This window comes from Homo sapiens, chromosome 16 (assembly GCF_000001405.40).
Source record: "Homo sapiens chromosome 16, GRCh38.p14 Primary Assembly".
Classification (NCBI taxonomy): domain Eukaryota; kingdom Metazoa; phylum Chordata; class Mammalia; order Primates; family Hominidae; genus Homo; species Homo sapiens.
The window spans coordinates 29053525-29076928 of NC_000016.10; the positions used below are offsets into that span (position 1 = coordinate 29053525).

Here is a 23404-nt window from a genome sequence, read left to right on the forward strand (position 1 = left end):
ACGTCAGCACACTCTAGCCTGGGTGACAGAGCGAGACTCTGACTCAAAAAATAAATAAAATAAATATCACTTACATTAGATATACCCAAGGGGTGTTCTATAGAGAGTTGGAAGCAGTGGTTATTGCAACGGGCACGGAAGTCATCTGGCTATGCCAGGGTGCCCAGGGGATACTCGGGGTGGGTGGCATGGTGCTGCTGGGGACTCACCGCACAGGACGCTCTGATTGACGCACTGCCAGGAGTAGCGCTCTGTCTTGGGGCTGCAGCCGGCCTCCTCAGCTCGAGTGTAACAACAGTCGTGGCCATGGCAGCACCTGCGGATGTCACATGGGCAGGACAGCAGGTGGGTGAAGCTCTCTCCTGGCCCTCCTCTCTTGCCAGGACCATGGGTGACTGAAGACCCCCAGGGAGGCACAGCATCCTCTTATCTAAGTTTTTTTTTTTTTTTTTTTTTTTTTTTTTTTTTTTTTAAGAGACAGGGTCTTTCTCTGTCGCCCAGGCTGGACTGCAGAGGCACAATCATAGCTCACGGCAGCCTTGAACTCCTGGGCTCAAGCGATCCTCCTACTTCAGTGTCCCAAGTAGCTGAGACTACAGGCACACGCCAGCATGCCCGGCTGGTTTTTTAATTTGTATTTCCTTTGAGACAGCGTATCTCTCTGTTGCTCAGGCTGGGGTGCAATGGCTCCATCAGCTCACTTTAGCCTTGAACTCCCGGGCTCAAGTGATACTGCCACCTCAACCTCCCAAGTATGCTACTACAGGAACACAAACTCCTTTTTTAAATTTTTTGTGGATATGGGGTCTATGTTGCCTAGGCTGGTCTCGAACTCCCAGGCTCAAGCAGTCCTCCTACCTCAGCCTCCCCAAATGCTGGGATTACAGGTGGGAGCTACTGTACGCCTGGCCTTATCTAAGCTGTTTCCCTGAAAATCCCCGACTTCGATAATGATTCCATTGGCCCCACCATGCCCTGTCCTGCCTTCCTGGCTGTGCCCAAGCTTGGTCCCTGCCTGCCTGCCTCACTCTCTGGGTCTCGAGCTCCTGTGACACATGACTCCTCTCTCTTCCTGGAGTGATCCAAGCCCTGCCACTTCCTGACCTTGCCCACACTGTACCCTCTGCCTGGGGCAACTTCATGTCTGCCCATTGTCCCTTAGGCCTCAGCCCAGGCACAAGCCCCTGCCTCCGGAGGTCATCCAGGCCTCACCAGGTTACACCCTCTCGTAAAATTGGATTCCCTCCCTTCAGGGCAGGTTTATAATGAAATCCTCCTCAGAGGCCAGGTGCGGTGACACCCATCTGTAATCCCAGCACTTTGGGAGGCTGAGGTGGGAGGATCACTTGAGGCCAGGGGGTCGAGACCAGCCTGAGCAACATAAGAGAGACTCTTGTCTCTATAACAAATTTAAAAATTAGCTCACCAGGCCAGGCTCAGTGGCTCATGCCTGTAATCCCAACACTTTGAGAGGCCGAGGCAGGTGGATCACGAGGTCAGGAGTTCGAGAGCAGCCTGACCAACATGGTGAAACCCTGTCTCTACTAAAAATACAAAATTAGCCAGGCATGGTGGCACGCACCTGTAATCCCAGCTACTCGGGAGGCTGAGGTAGGAGAGTTGCTTGAACCCAGGAGGTGGAGGTTGCGGTGAGCCAAGATCATGCCACTGCAGTCCAGCCTGAGCAACAGAGCAAGACTCTGTCTCAAGACAATAAAAACACACAAAAAATTAACTCGCCATGATGGCACATGCCTATAGTCCTAGCTACTTGGGAGGCTGAGGTGGGAGGATTCCCTCCAGCCCAGGAGTTTGAGGCTGCAGTGAGCCACTATGATTGTGCCACTGCACTCTAACCTGGGCAAAAGCGAGACCCCAGGCTAGAGTGCATGATTTTGGGTCACTGCAACCTCCACCTCCCAGGTTCAAGTGATTCTCCTGCCTCAGCCTCTTGAGTAGCTGGGACTACAGGCATGTGCCACCACGCCTGGGTAATTTTTGTATTTTTAGTAGAGACAGGGTTTAGTAGAGACCATGGTGAAACCCCGTCTCTATAAAACAAATCTCTACTAACCCCATCTCTACAAAAAACAGCTGGGCGTGGTAGTGCACACCTGTAATTCCAGCTACTTGGGAGGCTGAGGCACGAGAATCATTTGCATCTTGGAGGCAGAGTTTGCAGTGAGCTGACATCGCACCACTGCACTCCAGCCGGGATGACAGAGCAAGACCCTGTCTCAAAAAAAAGAAAAAGGAACAAACAACAGCCACAACAAAAAAACCTCTGTGTCAATCACAGCCTTCAAGCTAGGGGAGAGGCGGCCGAATTCTGCCCTCTGCTAACTAACTATAGCTTTGTGGAAATGGGTGAGTGGCATGCCCCTGTGAGCCTCAGGGCCCCATCTGTAAAATGGGCATAACTGTCATGCCCGTCTTTAAGAACAGCCTTGGGGGTAAATGAGTGGAACTCATGGAAAGATCTCAGCCCACAACCTTCCACAGAACAGGCGCTTCTCACACAGTAAGTAGCAGGAGTGCAGAGGCTGCAGGCATGAATCCAGTCAGACTGCAGACTGCCTGGGTTCAAGTCCCAGCTCCCACGTCTTGGTAACTAAGTGGCCTCAGACAAGTTACTTAGTATTTCTTCTTCTTCTTTTTTTTTTTTTTTTCAGACGGAGTTTTGCTCTGTCACCCAGGCTGGAGTGCAGTGGTGTGATCTCGGCTCACTGCAACCTCCGCCTCCCGGGTTCAAGCAATTCTCCTGCCTCAGCTTCCTGAGTAGCTGGAATTACAGGAACCTGCCACCACATCCAGCTAATTTTTGTATTTTTAGTAGAGACAGGGTTTCACCATGTTGGCCAGGATGGTCTCGAACTCCTGACCTCGTGATCTGCCTGCCTCAGCCTCCCAAAGTACTGGGATTACAGGCGTGAGCCACCGCACCTGGACACGTTACTGAATATTTCTGTGCCTAGGTTTCTTCATCTGTGAAATGGGATTGTTGTGAGAACACAAAGGGATTCCCAGGGCAGTTCCTAGTGCATAGTCTGGCTGCCTTTGTTTGTTTGTGTGTGTGTGTGTGTGTGTGTGTGTGTGTGTGTGTGTGTTTGTGTTTGTGTTTAATATAGAGACAGGGTCTCACTCTGTTGCCTAGGCTCGTTTCAAACTCCTGGGCTCCAGTGATCCTCCTGCCTCGACCCAAAGTGGTGGGATTACAGGCATGAGTCAACACACCTGGCCACTTTATATTATTATTATTTTTTTCTTTTGAGACAGGGTTTGGCACTGTTGTCCAGGTTGGAATACAGCGGTGCAATCTCAACTCACTGCAAACTCCACCTCCCGGGTTCAAGCAATTCTCCTGCCTCAGTCTCCCGAGTAGCTGAGATTACAGACGCCTGCCACCACACACAGCTAATTTTTGCATTTTTAGTAGAGATGGGGTTTCACCATATTGGCCAGGCTGGTCTTGAACTCCTGACCTCAAGTGATCTGCCCACCTCGGCCTCCCAAAGTGCTGGGATTACAGGAGTTAGCCACCGCTCCTGGCCAATTTTTTAAGGCAACGTTTTCAGCCCATGGCCAGGGTAAGGGGCAGCTGGTACCAAGATCTGGCTTCACTGGCCATGTTATCCAAGAGGCCTCTGCCTGCCTGCAAAGTAGTACTGCACACTGGGATCTCCCTGGACCAAATCCCAGCTTCAGTTTTGGGTACTTCCTCATAAGCCTTGACTACCCCAGAGTGTGAGGGATTTTGTAGCCTGGTCCCAGGCATGCACTCACCAGTCAATGGCATCGCAGGGCTGGCCATGGCCTCCCAAGCCACAAAAGGAACCATATTTCGTATAGGCGATGGGAGTCTAGGGACCAACACAACCCACAATTCCTGCCAGTTCCAGGATCCCACGCCGGTGCACACATAATATCCTGGAGGCTGGGGGGTAAACAAAGGTGACAGGCTGCAGGTCAGGGCTTCCCAGACCCCTGGGAAGGGCATGAGCCTGAGAAGAGCCTAGGTGTTACAGCCTGGCTGTCTGGGTTTGAATCCTACTTCCTAGCTGTGTGACCTTGGACGAATTCCTAACCTCTCTGGGCCTTGGTTTCCTCATCTGTGAAATGGGGGATAAGCTGACTTCAACTCATATGAATGAAATGAGATAATGAGTATAAAGCCCCTGGTGCATGAAAAGGCTATTATAATCCGGCTGGGCTCAGTGGCTCACACCTGTAATCCCAAGACTTTGGGAGGCCCAGGTGGGCAGATCACCTGAGGTCAGCAGTTCAAGATCAGCCTGGCCAACATGGTGAAACCCCATCTGTAGTAAAAATACAAAAATTAGCTGAGCCTAGTGGTGCACACCGGTAATCCCAGCTACTAGGGAGGCTGAGGAAGGAGAGTCACTTGAACCTGAGAGGTGAAGATTGCAGTGAGCCAAGATTTTGCCACTGCATTCCAACCTGGACGACAGAGCAAGAGTCTCAAAAAAAGAAAAAGAAAAAAAGGATAACTATTATAATCAAGGTCCTCAAGGTAGCCAAGAAGGGAAAAAAGAGTCGTGCATGAAACGTTTGTCCAGTTCCCTGTGTTGGGCACTGGGCATCACGGATGTGCCTACAGGTGTCTGTCACCAAGGTGGGCTCCTCTGTGGCAGCTCCCGGGCCCTGGCACTGCCCTGTGCTCATGACTTCCCCTCCAGACTCAGGGCCCTTGGTATCTCCTCTTATTTTCACTGCCAGACAGGAAGGCCCCTTGGCCTGAGTCCAGCCATTTTTCTAGATCCTGGCACAGCTTGGACATGTAATGGTGCCCAACGCATGTGACTGGAACCCCTGCATTGGACATGAAGGAAACGAGGCCAGCTGGGAAAGGTAACCCCACATTCCCACAGCCAGCAGGAACCCAAGCAGAGGCTTCAACCCAGGCTTCTGACTTGCAAACCAGTGCTCCTTCCTCCTTACACAGTAACAACAGGGGAAGGTGGCCTTCTGGGTTGCCAGAGCCGAGTGGTACCAGCAATAGAGTGGAAACTCACACACAGGCTTGCCTGCTTCCTGGGTTAGGGTTAGGGTTTATATGGCTCCGGGAGGTTGATGCATTGTGTTTGATCATCCCCCCCTTTTTTTTTTTTTGAGACAGAGTCTCATTCCTGTTGCCCAGGCTGCAGCACAGTGGTGTAATCTTGCTCACAGCAACTTCTGCCTCCCAGGTTCAAGCAATTGTCCCGCCTCAGCCTCCCGAGTAGCTGGGATCACAGGTGTGCGCCACCACACCCAGCTGATTTTTGTATTTTTAGTAGAAACGGGGTTTCACCATCTAGGCCAGGCTGGTCTTGAACTCCTGACCTCATATGATCCACCTGGTTTGGCCTCCCAAAGTGCTGGGATTATAGGCGTGAGCCACTGCGCTCATCCTGATCATCTCGTCTCTCTTTTTTTTTTTAGAGACAGGGTCTCACTCTGTCACCCACACTGGAGTGCAGTGGCACAATCATAGCTCACTGCAGCCTCCAAATCCTGGGCTCAAGCGATCCTCCTGCCTCAGCCTCCAGACATATGGGCATGCACCACCATGCCCAGCTAATTTTTAAATTTTTAGTAGATCTGGGGTCTCACTATGTTGCCCAGGCTGTTCACAAACTCCTGGCCTCAAGTGATTCTCCTGCCTTGGCCTCCGAAGGCGCTGGGATTCCAGGCATGAGCCACCATGCCCAGTCTCATTTCTGTTTTATCTAGAACATGTTTTCATCACACTGACTTTTTTGAGAAGTCCAGGCCAGATTTAAATTCCATTTTGTCTTTTTATCGGTGGAAAAGTAGCATATTTATGTTGCAGGACAAAGATGAATCAAATAGGAAGAAAATGTAAAACACATTTGGGGCCAGGCACAGTGGCTCATGCCTGTAATCCCAGCACTTTGGGAGGCCAAGGTGGGCAGATCACCTGAAGTCAGGAGTTCCAGACCAGCCTGACCAACATGGAGAAACCATGTTTTTTTTTTTTTTTTTTTTTTTTTTTATTGATCATTCTTGGGTGTTTCTCGCAGAGGTGGATTTGGCAGGGTCATAGGACAATAGCGGAGGGAAGGTCAGCAGATAAACAAGTGAACAAAGGTCTCTGGTTTTCCTAGGCAGAGGACCCTGCGGCCTTCTGCAGTGTTTGTGTCCCTGGGTACTTGAGATTAGGGAGTGGTGATGACTCTTAACGAGCATGCTGCCTTCAAGCATCTGTTTAACAAAGCACATCTTGCACCACCCTTAATCCATTTAACCCTGAGTGGACACAGCACATGTTTCAGAGAGCACAGGGTTGGGGTAAGGTCACAGATCAACAGGATCCCAAGGCAGAAGAATTTTTCTTACTACAGAACAAAATGAAAAGTCTCCCATGTCTACTTCCTTCTACACAGACACGGCAACCATCCGATTTCTCAATCTTTTCCCCACCTTTCCCCCCTTTCTATTCCACAAAACCGCCACTGTCATCATGGCCCGTTCTCAATGAGCTGTTGGGCACACCTCCCAGCCGGGGTGGCGGCCGGGCAGAGGGGCTCCTCACTTCCCAGTAGGGGCGGCCGGGCAGAGTCGCCCCTCACCTCCCGGACAGGGCGGCTGGCCGGGTGGGGGGCTGACCCCCCCACCTCCCTCCCGGGTGGGGCGGCTGGTTGGGCGGGGGACTGATCCCCCCACCTCCCTCCCGGGTGGGGCGGCTGGCCGGGCGGGGGGGCTGACTCCCCCACCTCCCTCCCAGACGGGGCGGCTGGCCGGGCGGGGGGGCTGACCCCCACCTCCCTCCCGGACGGGGTGGCTGCCGGGCGGAGACGCTCTTCACTTCCCAGACGGGGTGGCTGCCGGGCGGAGGGGCTCCTCACTTCTCAGACGAGGCGGCTGCCGGGCGGAGGGGCTCCTCACTTCTCAGACGGGGCGGTCGCCAGGCAGAGGGTCTCCTCACTTCTCAGACGCTCCTCACCTCCCAGACGGGGTCGCGGCCGGGAAGAGGCGCTCCTCACTTCCTAGATGGGATGGCGGCCGGGCAGAGAGGCTCCTCACTTTCCAGACTGGGCAGCCAGGCAGAGGGGCTCCTCACATCCCAGATGATGGGCGGCCAGGCAGAGACGCTCCCCACTTCCCCGACGGGGTGGCGGCTGGGCAGAGGCTGCAATCTCGGCACTTTGGGAGGCCAAGGCAGGCGGTTGAGAGGTGGAGGTTGTAGCGAGCCGAGATCATGCCACTGCACTCCAGCCTGGGCACCATTGAGCACTGAGTGAAGGAGACTCCGTCTGCAATCCCAGCACCTCGGGAGGCCGAGGCTGGCGGATCACTAGCGGTCAGGAGCTGGAGACCAGCCCGGCCAACACGGCGAAACCCCGTCTCCACCAAAAAACACAGATGGCGCGTGCCTGCAATCCCAGGCACTTGGCAGGCTGAGGCAGGAGAATGAGGCAGGGAGGTTGCAGTGAGCCGAGATGGTGGCAGTACAGTCCAGCCTCGGCTCGGCATCAGAGGGAGACTGTGGAAAGTGGGAGAGGAAGGGGGAGGGGGAGGGAGAGGACAAAAAATTAAAATTTAGCCGGACATGGTTGTGTGTGCCAGTAGTCCAAGCTGCTGGGGAGACTGAGGCAGGAGGATCACTTGAGCCCAGGAACTTAAGGTCTATTTAAGTAAAGGGTACAGTGAGCTATGATTATACCACTGCACTCCAGCCTGGGGAATAGAGCAAGACCCTGTCTCTAAAAAAAGGTAACAAAATAACATGAATGGATTCCATTTTAAGAGAATGAAGCATCATTGTGTAAGACTATGAAATTGGAAGCAAAGAGCATGAAGCCCAAAAAAAAAAAAAAACCATCTGAAGTCAGGGTGCCTGGGGTCAGAGGTGGGGGGAGGATTGAAGAGGTGCAGATGTAAAAAACTGAAGCTACTGTGACCAGTGGATTCGGGAGTTGAAGGAGTCAAGAATGACACATTCTCCTGACTGGAGGATAAACAAATATGACTGTTTTCAAGAAATAGCTGGAATATTCTTTGTGTTCAGAAGTACAAGAACAGCACATATGGAGGGCGGACTGATACTGAAGTTGAAGAGAAGCCTTCTGACGTGCACTAACTAGATTCTAGACTCAGCTTCTGTCACAAGGAGCCCCAAACAGTGACTCAGCAAAATAGCTTATTTCTCATGTGACAGTTCAGAGGTGATTGGTCCAGGGTTAGGGTTAGACAACAACCGTTATGCAAAATCATCTAGGGACCCAGGGCTGCGCTGTCATGTTGCTCTTGCATCCCCAAGGTTGTCATCTGTGTGGTTAAAGCGGCTCACCAGCCCCAAGTCCTCGTTCAAGCCCATGCAAAAGGAAGCGGAAATACAGGGCCTGGAAATTACACTGATCCCATTGGCCAGAACTTAGTCTCACCTTCTTACCACCCTATATGCGAGACTAAAATGCCTCTAGCTGGATAGTTACATGTTCATTTAAACTTGGGTCATTTTGTTTCTAAATGAAGGGAAGGGGCACAAGTATTAGTCTGTCACAGAAGAGAAAGAACAGAGAGAAAGGTTTTGAAGGGAATGACTTATAAATAGTTACCCGAAGTCTGGTCGTGGCTGACATCAGAGCCAGCATGTTGACCACTTCCATACTGCGTGCTTTAGCTGCCTTATCTCACTTAATCTCAGAATAACCCTATTGTCATTCCCAACTTGTAGATGGGAAAACAGACCCAAAGAGAAGTGATTTACCTTCCACACAATGGGGAAGTAAGGGGGCTAGGTGCACGTCAAGGCAGCCTGTGCCTGGCTCTTATACCTGGTGCTGCTTACATTTCCAGAGGGGGCAGCCTAGAGGAGAGGCCTAGGGACTGGACTCAACGTGCGAGTGCTTGGTGGAAGGGAAGCCAGAGGATCGAGTGGCCAGAGGTTAAGAACCAGGGAGGAGCAGTGATGAAAAGGCTGGAGAGCTTATGCATTTCAGGGCTGGGCTGCCAAGTACCTCACTTGGCCAGTTCAGCATTCTTAGGCAGGAGGCACAGCCATTGTGTTGTCCAATGCCAGGGTATATACCTTTTTCAGTTTCCAATCTACCAATGGTGACCTTTGAACAGCATTGTCAAACCCTTTTCTGCCCAGGGCTAGATAGTATATATTTTAAGCTTTGTGGGCCACACGTGGATTGTCACTCCTTTTCTTAACTTTTTTTTTTTTTTTTTGAGACAGGGTCTCCGCTCTGTCGCCCAGGCTGTTAACTACCGTTAACATTTTAATGCCTCTCTTTCTGGTGTGTGTATATTTATTACTAGACTGGAATCATCCTATATCTATGTCATCTGTTGCTGTTTCCTGTCCCTTTACATAAAGTGAGCTGCTTTCTGAAATTTTATTTATTTTATAATTTATTTATTTTATAGACAGAGTCTTGCCCTGTCACCCAGGTTGGAGTTCAGTGGTGCAATCTCAGCTCACTGCAATCTCAGCCTCCCGAGTAGCTGGGACTACAGACACTCGCCACCACACCCGGCTAATTTTCATATTTTTAGTACAGATGGGTTTTCACCATGTTGGCCAGACTGGTCTTGAACTCCTGGCCTCAAGTGATCTGCCCGCCTCAGCGTCCCAAAGTGCTGGGATTACAGGCATGAGCCACCATGCCCAGCCTCCCCTCCCTTTAAATAACATGAACTGCTTTCCTAAATTTTAGCTAATCCCCTGGGTTGGAAGGTGGGAGGGCATAGGGGCCAAAAGGACAAGGCTCAAGTCAAGATGCCTGGGTTCACATTCCAGCCCTTCCCTTAGAAGCTGCCACCCTTGGGACAATCTCGCTTCTCTAAGCCTCAGCGGCTTCATCTGTGAAAGAATCATCTCTCTTTGTTGGAGTTGCTGTGCATTCCGTGAAAGGGCCGTATATGCCAAGTGACCCTCATGCCAAAGGAGCCAAAAAAAAAAAGGAAGCAGACAAATCCAGTTTGTCAGTTTTGGGTGATTTATTAAGGAACTTACACACAAAAGCATGGTCTTGGGCTGCGCCATGACAGATCTCCACACCACAGCCCCAAGACCTACCGCTTATGTCTTGGAGCAAAAGCATAGTGCTCTGGAAGGAATGTATAGGTGGCTACAGTGCTCACAGCCTGTCATTTCTGCAACAACAGGGTGGTTTTGGAGGAAATTTACAATTAACAGACGTTCCTACATAAACAGTCATACATCCACCAGGCATGGTGGCACACACCTATAGTCCCAGCAACTCAGAAGACTGAGGTGGGAGGATCACCTGAGCCTGGAAGGTCGAGGCTTCAGTGAGCTGTCATCACACCACTGCATTCCAACCTGGGTGACAGACAGACTGTCTCAAGACACAAAAGCACGAGAAGAGAAGCAGTTTGAATAAAGTACTGTCTCTAATGAAAAGTACTTTAGGCTGGGCATGGTGGCTCATGCCTGTAATCCCAGCACTTTGGGAGGCTGAGGCAGGTGGATCACAAAATCAGGAGTTCGAGACCAGCCTGACCAACATGGTGGAACCCCATCTCTACTAAAAATACAAGAATTAGCCAGGCATAGTGGTGCATGACTGTAGTCCAAGCTACTTGGGAGGCTAAGACAGGAGAATTGCTTGAACCCAAGAGGTGGAGGTTGCAGTGAGCCACGATTGTGCCATTGCACTCCAGCCTGGGTGACAGAGTGAGACTCCATCTCAAAAGAAAAAAAGTACTTAAAAAATTTTTTTTTTAATTAAAAAAGCCAGACGTAGGCAGGTGGATCATGAGGTCAGGAGATCAAGACCATCCTGGCCAACATGGTGAAACCCCATCTCTACTAAAAATACAAAAATAAGCCAGGTGTGGTGGCACACACCTGTAATCCCAGCTACTCGGGAGGCTGAGACGGGAGAATCCTTTGAACTCAGGAGGCGGAGGTTGTAGTGAGCCGAGATTGCGCCACTGCACTCCAGCCTGAGCAACAGTGAGACTCCATCTCAAAAACAAAAACAAAAAAAGCAAGCCAGGCACGGCTCACACCAGTAATCCCAGCCCTTTGGGAGGCCAAGTCGGGAGGATTGCCTGAGCCCAGGAGTTTGAGACCAGCATGGACAACATGGTGACACCCGTCTTTATAAAAATTTTTTAAAAAATAAAAGGTAATACATCAAGACTGTGTACAGTGGCTCATGCCTGTAATCTCAGCACTTTGGGAGGCCAAGGCGAGAATTGCTTGAGATCAGGAATTTGAGACCACCCTGGGCAACATAACAAGACCCCAACTCTACAAAAAAAAAATTTTAATGAGCAGGGGGCATTTGTTGAGCTGGCCTATTGTCCCAGCTACTTGGAGGCTGACAGTTCAAGTGCCAGGGTCCGAGCCAGATGTGGGGTGTAACCTATGGTGAACGGGTTGTGGTCTGTATCACACCAGAGTTCATAGCCTAAGTAAAGGGGAGAGGAGGCAGCGACTGTGCTGCCGGGGTGGGAACCAAACTTCCCTTTCAGTCTCTTCCACTGACCTGACACTTCCCTTGTAGGGCCTCAGGATCCTCATCTTTCTAATGAAGAGGATCGTTTCCAAAGGATGGCAAACTTCAGTACCTTCTAATCAGTTATCTAAATTTTTTTTTTTTTTGAGACGGAGTCTTGCTCTGTCACCCAGGCTGGAGTGCAGTGGCGTGATCTTGGCTCACTGCAGCCTCTGCCTCGGATTCAAGCGATTCTCCTGCCTCAGCCTCCTGAGTAGCTGGGATTACAGGCATCCACCACCATGCCTGGCTATCAGTTATCTAATTTTATTTTACTTAAAATTATTGAGGTGAAATAACATAAAGTAACCATTTTATTTATTTATTTCTATTTATTTATTTATTTGAGATGGGGTTTTGCTCTTGTTGCCCAGGCTGGAGTGCAGTGGCACAATCTCGGCTTACTGCAACCTCTGCCTCCTGGGATCAAGTGATTCTCTTGCCTCAGCCTCCTGGGTAGCTGGGATTATAGGCACACACCACCATGCCTGGCTAATTTTTGTATTTTATTAGTAGAGATGGGTTTCGCCATGTTGACCTGGCTGGTCTCGAACTCCTGACCTCAGGTGATCTGCCCACTTTGGCCTCCCAAAGTATTTATTTTATTTTGAGACAGGGTCTTGCTCTGTCATCCTGGCTGGAGTGCAATGATAGCTCACTGCAGCCTTGAACGAACTCGTGGGTTCTCAGCCTCCATCTCAGCCTCCAGATAACTGGGGCTATGGCTAATGTTTTTGTTTGTTTGTTTGTTTGTTTTGAGACAGAGTCTCACTCTGTTACCCAGGCTCAAATGCAATGGCGAGATCTTGGCTCACTGCAACCTCCACTTCCCAGGTTCCAGTGATTCCCCTGCCTCAGCCTCTCGAGTAGCTGGGATTACAGGCGCTCATTACCACAACTGGCTAATTTTTTTTTTTTTTTTAATACAGAGATGAGGTTTCACCATATTGGCCAAGCTGGTCTCAAACTTCTGATCTCGGGTGATCCACCTGCCTCAGTCTCCCAAAGTGCCATGCCCAGCTAATTTTTAAATTGAGACCAGGTCTCCCTGTGTTAACCATGCTGATCTTGAACTTCCAGGATCAAGTGATCCTTCTGCCTGCGCCTCCCAAAGTGCTGGAATTCCAGGCATAAGCCATCATGGCTGGCCTGATTTTTTAAAAGAAACAGAAATTGGGATTTTATTGTGAAATCTCCTGATCTTAGTATATTGGATTTCATTATTTTTACATCAGGCAGATAATGTGTCAATGTCAAAACAAGGTTTGAGGGAGGTGCAACTCACGCATGAGCATGGAAACACAGTCATCACGTTTATGAACTACAAAAAGATGTGGCTTTAATTATTTGAAAGACATCTTGGCCAGGCCCGGTGGCTCACTCCTGTAATCCCAGCACTTTGGGAGGCCGAGGCAGGTGGATCACCTGAGGTCAGGAGATCGAGACCATACTGGTCAACATGGTGAAACCCTGTCTCTACGGGCCGGGTGCGGTGGCTCAAGCCTGTAATCCCAGCACTTTGGGAGGCCGAGGTGGGTGGATCACAAGGTCAGGAGATCGAGACCATCCTGGCTAACATGGTGAAACCCCATCTCTACTAAAAATACAAAAAATTAGCCGGGTGTGGTGGCGGGCACCTGTAGTCCCAGCTACTCAGGAGGCTGAGGCAGGAGAATGGCGTGAACCTGGGAGGTGGAGGTTGCAGTGAGCCGAGATCATGCCACTGAGCTCCAGCCTGGGTGAAAGAGCGAGACTCCGTCTCCAAAAAAAAAAGAAAGAAAGAAAGAAAAAAAAAGAAACCCTGTCTCTACTAAAAATACAAAAATTACCTGGGCATGGTGGTGGGAGCCTGTGGTCCCAGTTACTCAGGAGGCTGAGGCAGAAGAATCGCTTGAACCCAGGAGGTGGAGATTGCAGTGAGCCGAGATCACGCCACTGCACTCCAGCCTGGTGACAGAGTGAGACTCTGGCTCAAAAAAAAAAAAAAACATTTTACTGGTCAATACTATATAAGACAAGCAGGCCGGGCGCGGTGGCTCAAGCCTGTAATCCCAGCACTTTGGGAGGCCGAGGTGGGCGGATCACAAGGTCAGGAGATCGAGACCATCCTGGCTAACACGGTGAAACCCCATCTCTACTAAAAATACAAAAAAAAATTAGCCGGGCATGGTGGCGGGCACCTGTAGTCCCAGCTACTTGGGAGGCTGAGGCAGGAGAATGGCGTGAACCCGGGAGGCGGAGCTTGCAGTGAGCCGAGATCACGCCACTGCACTCCAGCCTGGGCGACAGAGCAAGACTCCATCTCAAATAATAATAATAATAATAAGACAACAAAACATTTGCTGGCCAGGTGATGAAAGGTGAATTCTGCTTTCATCACAGTTACTGTCAAGCATTCAACCACAATTTATTGAGACTTCCATGCAGAACTTTGTGGAAAGCAAAGCACTGGGGAGAGATTCCATGAACATCATTCATTTAAACACCCATTTGTTATTTTATTTTATTTATTTATTTTATTTTATTTTTTTGAGACGGAGTCTTGCTCTTGTCACCCAGGCTGGAGTGTAGTGGCGTGATCTCAGCTCACTGCAACCTCCGTCTCCTGGGTTCAAGTGATTCTGCCGCCTCCTCCTGAGTAGCTGGGATTACAGGCGCCCACCCCAACACCTGGCTAATTTTGGTACTTTTAGTAGAGATGGGATTTCGCCATGCTGGCCAGGCTGGTCTTGAACCCCTGACCTCAGTTGATCCGCCCGCCTTGGCCTCCCAAAGTGCTGGGATTACAGGCGTGAGCCACCACGCCTGGCTATCTTATTATTTTTTTAATTGAGACAAAGTCTCACTTTGTCACCCAAGCTGGAGTGCAGTGGCACAATCTTGGCTCACTGCAACCTCTGCCTCCTGGGTTCAAGCAATTCTTCTGCCTCAGCCTCCCAAGTAGCTGGATTACAGGCATGCACCACCATGCCTGGCTAATTTTTGTATTTTTAGTAGAGATGAGGGTTCACCATGTTGGCCAGGCTGGTCTCGAACTTCTGACCTCAAGTGATTTTTCTGCCTCAGCCTCTGAAAGTACTGGGATTATAGGCATGAGCCACTGCACCTGGCCTATGTTTATTTATTTTTGAGACAGAGTATTGCTCTGTTGCCCACGCTGGAGTGCAGTGGCGTGATCTTGGCTCACTGCAACCTCCGTCTCCTGGGTTCAAGCAATTCTCCTGCCTCAGCCTCCTGAGTAGCTGGGATTACAGGCACCCGCCACCATGCCCAGCTAATTTTTGTATTTTTAGTAGAGACAGAGTTTCACTATGTTGGCCAGGCTGGTCTTGAACTCCTGACTTCAGGTGATCTGCCCACCTTGGCCTCCCAGAGTGCTGGGATTACAGGCATGAGCCACCACGCCCAGCCCCCATTTATTTTTTAGACTTTTATTATATTTTTTGAGACAGGGTCTCACTGTGTCTCCCAGGCTGGTGTGCAGTGGTACAAGCACAGCTCACTGAAGCCTCCCAGCTCAAGCAATCCTCTCACCTCAGCCTCCCGGGTAGCTGGAACGTGCCACCACACCTGGCTAATTTTTCTATTTTTTGGTAGAGATCGGGGTCTTGCTTTGTTGCCCAGGCTGGTCTTGAATTCCTGGGCTCAAGTGATCCTCCCACATTGGCCTCCCAAAGTGCTAGGATTACAGATATGAGGCACCATGCCCAGACTTAAACACCCATTTATTGTGCACTTTCTCTGCACCAGGCCCTGATCTGAGCCCCATGCACAGATGTGAACAAGACCTTACTCTCCAGGGACCAGGGGAAAGAAGTGCTACTTCTGTGCTCTGGAGAACCGAGTTCTCCAATCAGAAAAGATGAGAATGGAGGCCAGGTGCAGTGGTGACTAACGCCTGTACTCACACTTTGGGAGGCCGAGGCAGGAGGATCACCTGAGGTTAGGAGTTCGAGAGCAGCCTGGCCAACATGGTGAAAACCTATCTCTACTAAAAATACAAAAATTAGCCAGGTGTGGTGCCGTGTGCCTGTAATCCCAGCTACTTGGGAGGCTGAGGCAGAAGAATTGCTTGAACCTGGGAGGTAGAGTTTGCAGTGAGCTGAGATTCCCGCCACTGCACTCCAGCCTGGGGGACAGAGAGACTGTCTCAAAAAAAAAAAAAAGTTTTTTAAATTTAAAAAGGCAGCCGGGCACAGTGGCTCACGCCTGTAATCCCAGCACTTTGGGAGGCCGAGGCGGGCAGATCATGAGGTCAGGAGATCGAGAACCTCCTGGCTAACACAGTGAAACCCCATCTCTACTAAAAATACAAAAAATTAGCTGGGCGCAGTGGCGGGCGCCTGTAGTCCCAGCTACTCAGGAGGCTGAGGCAGGAGAATGGCGCGAACCCGGGAGGCAGAGCTTGTAGTGAGCTGAGACTGTGCCACTGCACTCCAGCCTGGGTGACAGAGCGAGACTCCGTCTCAGAAAAAAAAAAAAAAAAAAAAAAAAGCCAGTCACAGTGGCTCACGCCTGTAATCCCAGCACTTTGGAAGGCCAAGGTGGGTGGATCACAAGGTCAGTAGTTCAAGAGCAGCCTGGCCAAGATGGTGAAATCCTGTCTCTACCAAAAATACAAAAATTAGCTGGGCGCAGTTGCAGGTGCCTGTAATCCCAGCTACTTGGGAGGCTGAGGCAGGAGAATCATTTGAACCCAGGAAGTGGAGGTTGCAATGAGCTGAGATCGTGCCACTGCACTCCAGCCTGGGCGACAAGAGTGAGATTCTGTCAAAAAAAAAAAAAAATGGAATTGCTAGGACAGTCAAAAACAAATGGAATTGCTAGGACAGTCTAGACAGTTTTCACAAAGCAAGACTTTGGTCCCCTCTTCAGGACTCAGCATGGCCTCAGAGCCAGCCACCAGGCCCCGAATACCTTCAAGTTTGAGTGTAGAAGGGCATATTTCGCCTTCTTTTTGTGCTTCCCCTGACACCCTGACGTTCTTGACTCATCTGTCTTCATCTTCCGAGCCAACTTTGCTTACCCACAAAGGGAGGGCACTATTCCCTCACAAAACACAGCCCAAGGCTCACTCTTTCCTCTTTTCCTATAGAAGAGCCAAAGGGCATGACAGTTGCCTCTGCTCCTTTAACCTACCCACTCTTTCCTCACAGCCCTCCTCAGCCTTCACAGTCCATAATGCAGTCTTGAATTCTGGGCTTCATATTCTTGACACACTCTGCAAACAGAATCCCCTAGGAAGCTATATTTATTTCCTTTTTTTTTTTTTTTTTTTTTTGAGACGGAGTCTCACTCTGTCACCCAGCCTGGAGTGCAATGGCATGATCTCGGCTCACTGCAACCTCTGCCTCCCGGGTTCAAACGATTCTCCTGCTTTGGCCTCCCGAGTAGCTGGGACTACAGGTGCCCACCACCACACCTGGCTAATTTTTGTATTTTTGGTAGAGACAGGGTTTCACTATGTTGGCCAGGCTGGTCTCAAACTCTTGACCTCATGATCCTCACACCTCAGCCTCTCAAAGTGCTGGGATTACAGGCATGCGCCACCATGCCTGGCCTATTTACTTATTTTTATTTTTATTTTGAGACAGGTTCTCACTTTGTTGCCCAGGCTGCAGTGCAGTGGCATAAACATGGGTTATAGCAGCCTTGACCTCCTAGGCTCAAGCAAGCCCCCTGCCTCAGTCCCCCAAGCAGCTGGAACTACAGATATGTGCCACCATGTCCGGCTAATTTTTTTTTTTTTTTGAGGTGGAGTCTCGCTCTGTTGCACAGGCTGTAGTACAGTGGTGTGATCTTGGCTCACTGCAACTTCTGCCTCCCAGAGGCAGAGGATTACTCACACCTGTAATCCCAGTTTAGGGAGGCTGAAGCGGGCAGACAGCTTGAGGCCAGGAGTTTGACACCATCCTGGCCAACATGGTGAAAGCCTGTCTCTGCTAAATAAAAAAATTAGCCAGGCATGGTGGCACATGCCTGTGGTCCCAGCTACTCAGGAGGCTGAGGCACAAGAATCGCTCGAACCCAGGAGGCGTAGTTTTCAGTGAGCTGAGATCTCACCACTGCACTCCAGCCTGGGCGACAAGAGACTTCGTCTCAAAAAAAAAAAAAAAGAAAGATAATAAAGATGAGCAGAAATAAATGCAGCAGAGAATAAAAAATAGAGGAAGTAAGTAAAACCAAAATAATTTGGTTCTTTGAAAAATCCATAAAATTGATGAACCTTTAGATGGACTGACCAAGAAAAAAGCAGAGGAGACTCAAACTGCAAAACAGGAGCAAAAGAGGAGACATCACTACCAACATTAGATAAGTAAAAGAATTATCAGGGAATACTATGAACAGTTGTATGCCAACAAATTAGATGAAAGGAACAAATTCCTAGGGGTATTTAAACACCAAACTTAAGAAGAAATATAAAATCTAGGCCAGGCATGGTGGCTCACGTCTGTAATCCCAGCACTTTGAGGGGCTGAGTCAAGTAGATCATCTGAGATCAGGAGTTTGAGACCAGCCTGACCAACATGGTGAAACCTCATGTCTACTAAAGATACAAAAAATTAGCCAGGCAAGTGGCGCACGCCTGTAATCCCAGCTGAGGCAGGAGAATCACTTAAACCGGGGAGGTGGAGGTTGCAGTAAGCTGAGATTGTGCCATTGGGAGGAAAGCAGGTAGAAGGTGGGATCCGAGAGCAGCACACAGTAAGTGTCAATTGTCCTAGTTAATGTTCGGCTTCTTAAATTGGGTGATATGTTCACAGGTGTTCATTATGTTCTTTTTTTTTTTTTTTTTTGAGACAGAGTCTGACTCTGTTGCCCAGGCTGGGGTGCAGTGGTGCGATCTCGGCTCACTGCAAGCTCCACCTCTCGGGTTCATGCCATTCTCCTGCCTCAGCTTCCCAAGTAGCTGGGACTACAGGTGCCCGCCACCACGCCCGGCTAATTTTTTTTTTTTTTTTTTTTTTTTGTATTTTTAGTAGAGACGGGGTTTCACCGTGTCAGCCAGGATGGTCTCGATCTCCTGACCTCGTGATCCACCTGCCTCGGCCTCCCAAAGTGCTGGGATTACAGGCGGGAGCCGCTGCGCCCGGCCCATTATGTTCTTATAACTTACATTAACATATTATTTTGTACATGTCAAGCTTTTTTCCCCTTTTTTTTTTTTTTTAAGAGATGAGATTTTGCTTTGTCACCCAGGCCAGAGAGTGTCGTGGTGCAGTCATAGCTCACTGCAGCCTCCAACTCCTGGGTTCAAGTGATTCTCCCACCTCTGTCTGCCAAATAATTGGAACTACAGGCATGTGCCACCATGCTTGGGTAAGTTTTTTTATTTTTTATTTTTTATTTATTATTATTATACTTTAAGTTTTAGGGTACATGTGCACAATGTGCAGGTTAGTGACATATGTATACATGTGCCATGCTGGTGTGCTGCACCCATTAACTCGTCATCTAGCATTAGGTGTATCTCCCAATGCTATCCCTCCCCCCTCCCCCCTCCCCCCACCCCACAACAGTCCCCAGAGTGTGATGTTCCCCTTCCTGTGTCCATGTGTTCTCATTGTTCAATTCCCACCTATGAGTGAGAATATGCAGTGTTTGGTTTTTTGTTCTTGCGATAGTTTACCGAGAATGATGATTTCCAATTTCATCCATGTCCCTACAAAGGACGTGAACTCATCATTTTTTATGGCTGCACAGTATTCCATGGCATATATGTGCCACATTTTCTTAATGCAGTCTATCATTGTTGGACATTTGGGTTGGTTCCAAGTCTTTGCTATTGTGAATAATGCCGCAATAAACATACGTGTGCATGTGTCTTTAAAACAGCACGATTTATAGTCCTTTGGGTATCCTGGGTAAGTTTTTTAAAAGTGTTATTTGTAGAGACGGAGTCTGGCTGTGTTGCCTGGGCTGGTCTCAAACTCCTGGCTTCAAGTTATCCTCCTGCCTCAGCCTCCCAAAGCTCTGGCATTACAGGTGTGAGCCACTGCACCCAGACTCAGACTTTTTTTAAGGGAAAGAATGGGAGTATAGGTGGGGAGACACACTTTGGGAGGCCAAGGTGGGAGGATCACTTGGGCCGGGGGTTCAAGACCAGCCTGGGCAACAAAGTGAGACCTCGTATTTACCAAAAATACAAAAAATTAGCTGGGCTTGGTGGTGTGGGTTTGGGAGGCTGAGGTGAGAGGATTGCATAAGCTGTAGGAGCCCGAGGCTGCAACGAGCTGTGATCGCGCCATTGCGCTCTAACTTGGGCTAGACAATGAGATCCTGTCTCAAACCAAAACAAAACAAAACAGATAATTGTCAAATTGCTGTTTTGCTATTGTTGCTTTTTGTTTTTGCTTTGCTTTGCCTTGGAAGTGAAGAAGAGATTCTCATTTAAACCGTTATCTTGAAGTATTGAAGTATCTTTGTGAGCTAGGGTGCAATTATTTCCTCTGTCCTTGAGACACAGATGATTCCTGTCCAACATTCCCAAGGAACTCAGTAAGGACCAAATAGAGACTCAGGAAAGACAGTTACTGATTTTACACTGTTGCAAAACAGAGCTATGGTTTATGTTTAACAAACTGCTGGCGGGGCGTGGTGGCTCATGCCTGTAATCCCAGCACTTTGGGATGCCAAGGTGGGTGGATCACTTGAGGTCAAGAGTTCAAGACCAGCCTGGCCAACATGGTGAAACCCTGTCTCTACTAAAAATACAAAAATTAGCAGGGCATGGTGGTGCATGCCCGTAATCCTAGCTACTGGGGAGGGTGAGGCACAAGAATCGCTTGAACCTGGGAATCAGAGGATGCAGTGAGCCGAGATCACGACACTGTACTCCAGCCTGGGTGACAGAGCGAGACTCTGTCTCAAAAAAAACACAAAAAACATAAAAACCAAATTGCTGTATTTTATTTTGTGAAATAGGGTCTAGATCTGTTGTCTAGGCTGGAGTGCAGGGGTGCAATCACAGCTCACTGCGGCCTTGACCTCCAGGGCTCAAGCGATCCTCCCTCCTCAGTTTTCAAGTAGCTGGGACTACAGGTATGCACCATCATATGTTGCCCAGGCTGGTCTTGAACTCCTGGAGAGAGATACATATAAACACACACACACACACACACACACACACACACACACACCCTTTTTTTTTTTTTTTTTTGAGACACAGTTTCACTCCTCACCCAGGCTGGAGTGCAATGGCACAATCTTGGCTCATTGCAACCTCTGCCTCCTGGGTTCAAGCTATTCTCCTGCCTTGGCCTCCCAAGTAGCTGGGATTACAGGCACTGCCACCATGTCTGGCTAATTTTGTATTTTTAGTAGAGACAGGGTTTTGTCATGTTGGCCAGGCTGGTCTCAAACTTCTGGCCTCAGGTGATCCACTTGCCTCGGCCTCCCAAAGTGTTGGGATAACAGGCATGAGCCACTGCGCCGGGCCCATACATATGCATTTAAAAAAATTTATTTATTTATTTCGAGACAGGGTCTCACTCTGTTGCCCAAGCAGGAGTGCAGTGGTGCTATCTCCCAGGCTCAAGCAATCCTCAGCCTCCCGAGTAGCTGGGACTACAGGTATGTGCCATCACACCCAGATAATTTTTATTATTTTTATTTTTTAAGTTTTTTGTAGAGATGGAGTTTCACCGTGTCACCCAGGCTGGATATTTTTGTATTTTTGATAGGCCTGTACAGTTTCCAAAGTTGCAACCTTTCCCCCTCCCTGAGAGTAGGGGCAGCCCCTGCTCTCCCTCTACATCCTCCACAGTCCCGAGGTTTTGGCCTCTGTTTCCTCTGTTTCCTATGCTTGGAACACCAGTCGCTCTTTTGTTGGTCTGGCTGACTTCTGTTCCTCTTTTAAAAATTTAAGTTTGGCCGGGTGCGGTGGCTCACGGGGCCCCTGATTGTCTGAAGGTTGCGCTGGCACGCGCAACTTCCGGGACAGAGGCTGTGGCTGGAAGGAGCTGGGCATCCGGCCTGAGGCGCAGCGGTCGCGTTAGTTCGGCCCAATGGCGGCACCGCTGCTTCACACGCGTTTGCCGGGAGATGCGGCCGCTTCGCCCTCTGCAGTCAAGATGCTGGGCGCGTCGAGGACTGGGTAAGATTCAGGCCGCTTCCTTCTGTGCGTCTGGGACCAAAGCTCAGGACCGCTCTTAGAGGAGCAGATTGAAAGGATGTGGGGCAAAGCTAATGGCGTGTGATAGGAGCACGGGGTCGAGGGTCATCTCACGTTCACAGAAATGAGCTCATTCCTCCTAACTGGGTAATAGACATGGGTGGGGCCTGGAAAAGTGAGTATGTTCTCTGTTCTGGAGGCCCCCTTTCCCGACTGTGTCTCTTCGTGATTTCCCAGGCCTGGGTACTGCCTTCTGCGCCTTGACCCCTCTTCCTTCCCTCTTCTTCGTCCAAATTTGGAAGGGATTTCCCTGGGCTATGTGGGTTATCAGCCGAACGTTGTCACTCATGGCAAATTGAATATTACATCTTTTTTGTTTGAAATTTGTTTCGACACACGTATTTGTTTAGCAGTCTTTATTTTGCTCCACTTTTAAAATCCCTAACCCCATAGCACTCTTGGCGTTTAACTTTCAGAGTCATTAGGATGCTATGTTTTTTCATTAATTTACTACGTGTAAGTGAAGCAAACCTTGTAAAACAATTAGCGTAATATGATTCATAATGTTTATCGAGCTCCTGCTTACTGTGTTAAACACTGGCGACAGTGGTTTATCCAAAGACACTAATGTCCCTGCTTTCTACAGAGCTTACAGCATATTGGGGGGAAGGCAGTACATAGGCCAATAAATAAACGAACACGATGATTTCAGTTATACAACAAGGTAATGGGGGAGGGAGAAGGGAGAGAAGGAGTGTTTGAGATTTCTCATTGGGAAGACATCTGTCATTTGAGCTTCTATTTGAATGAAGACAAAAATCTAGGCCGGGCACGGTTGCTCACGCCTGTAATCCCAGCACTTTGGGAGGCTGAGGTGGGCGGATCACCTGAAGTCAGGAGTTCGAGACCAGCCTGGCCAACATGCGAAACCTCGTCTCTACTGAAAATACAAAAATTAGCCGGGCGTGGTGGCAGGCTCCTGTAATCTCAGCTACTCAGGAGGCTGAGGCAGGAGAATTGCTTGAACCCGGGAGATGGAGGTTGCAGTTAAGCTGAGATCACACCACTGCACTCCAGCCTGGGCAGCAGAGCAAGACTCCATCTCAAAAAAAAAAAAAAATCCAGCCACATAGAGATTTGGGAAAAGAGTATTTCCAATAGAGTGAACAGTAAGTGAAATGAGAAACAGCTTGGCTTGTTTGAAGAGCAGAAAAGACATGATGGCTGTAGTAAAACAAGTTGTTGGAGATGAGGTGAGAGAGGTAGGCAGGGGCCAGATTAATGTAGGATCTTAAAGACCACACTGAGAGATTTGGATTTTTACTGTAAGTGCAGTGGGAAGACAGTTATTGGTTGCTGAGCAAAGGAGGGATTGTTGATTAAGAGTGGAAGCAGGGAGACCAGTAAAGAGGCCTTAACAATAGTTCCACTGAATTATGTTGGTTCAATAAAGGTTGGCTATTATAATTTTTATTATTTTCATGAACTTAATAGCTTGTTAATCTTGGTTCCACAGGATTTCAAATATGCGTGCATTAGAGAATGATTTTTTCAATTCTCCCCCAAGAAAAACTGTTCAGTTTGGTGGAACTGTGACAGAAGTCTTGCTGAAGTACAAAACGGTAAGAGGAGATAATGTGTGAGGTTTGCTTTTGGTCAGGTCAGAATACAACTATTGCTGTTATACTAAAGACCAATAGAAATAGCAAGATTAATTAAGATACCAGTTGAAATCAAATATTTAATAATAGCATGATGCCATCAGTGCAAAATTAGAGTAATAGTGTCC

The 23404-nt window shown here is 49.1% G+C and overlaps 1 non-coding gene and 2 pseudogenes across 2 annotated transcripts in view, besides 2 other annotated features; 1 reads left to right on the forward strand and 2 right to left on the reverse strand.

Moving 5' to 3' along the window:
- Positions 208-15598, reverse strand: PLA2G10CP (phospholipase A2 group XC, pseudogene; annotated as a pseudogene).
- Positions 8210-8410: a silencer, noted in NCBI's record as "peak2554 fragment used in MPRA reporter construct". NCBI's record gives its function as "represses an SCP1 promoter by STARR-seq MPRAs in K562 erythroleukemia cells {active_cell/tissue: K562}" and the evidence as "EXISTENCE:reporter gene assay evidence [ECO:0000049][PMID:32103011]".
- Positions 12731-12834, reverse strand: LOC124903793 (small nucleolar RNA U13). The gene has a single exon (XR_007065238.1). It is a non-coding gene; the product is annotated as a small nucleolar RNA U13 (small nucleolar RNA).
- Positions 21190-21389: an enhancer, noted in NCBI's record as "active region_10655". NCBI's record gives its function as "activates an Ori minimal core promoter by ATAC-STARR-seq in GM12878 lymphoblastoid cells {active_cell/tissue: GM12878}" and the evidence as "EXISTENCE:reporter gene assay evidence [ECO:0000049][PMID:35858748]".
- RRN3P2 (RRN3 pseudogene 2) overlaps positions 21318-23404 on the forward strand; it is a 41877-nt pseudogene continuing 39790 nt past the window's right edge. The window contains exons 1-2 of the transcript NR_003369.2: positions 21318-21597; positions 23132-23237. The product of NR_003369.2 is annotated as an RRN3 pseudogene 2 (transcript). The remainder of the gene's footprint in view (positions 21598-23131; positions 23238-23404) is intronic.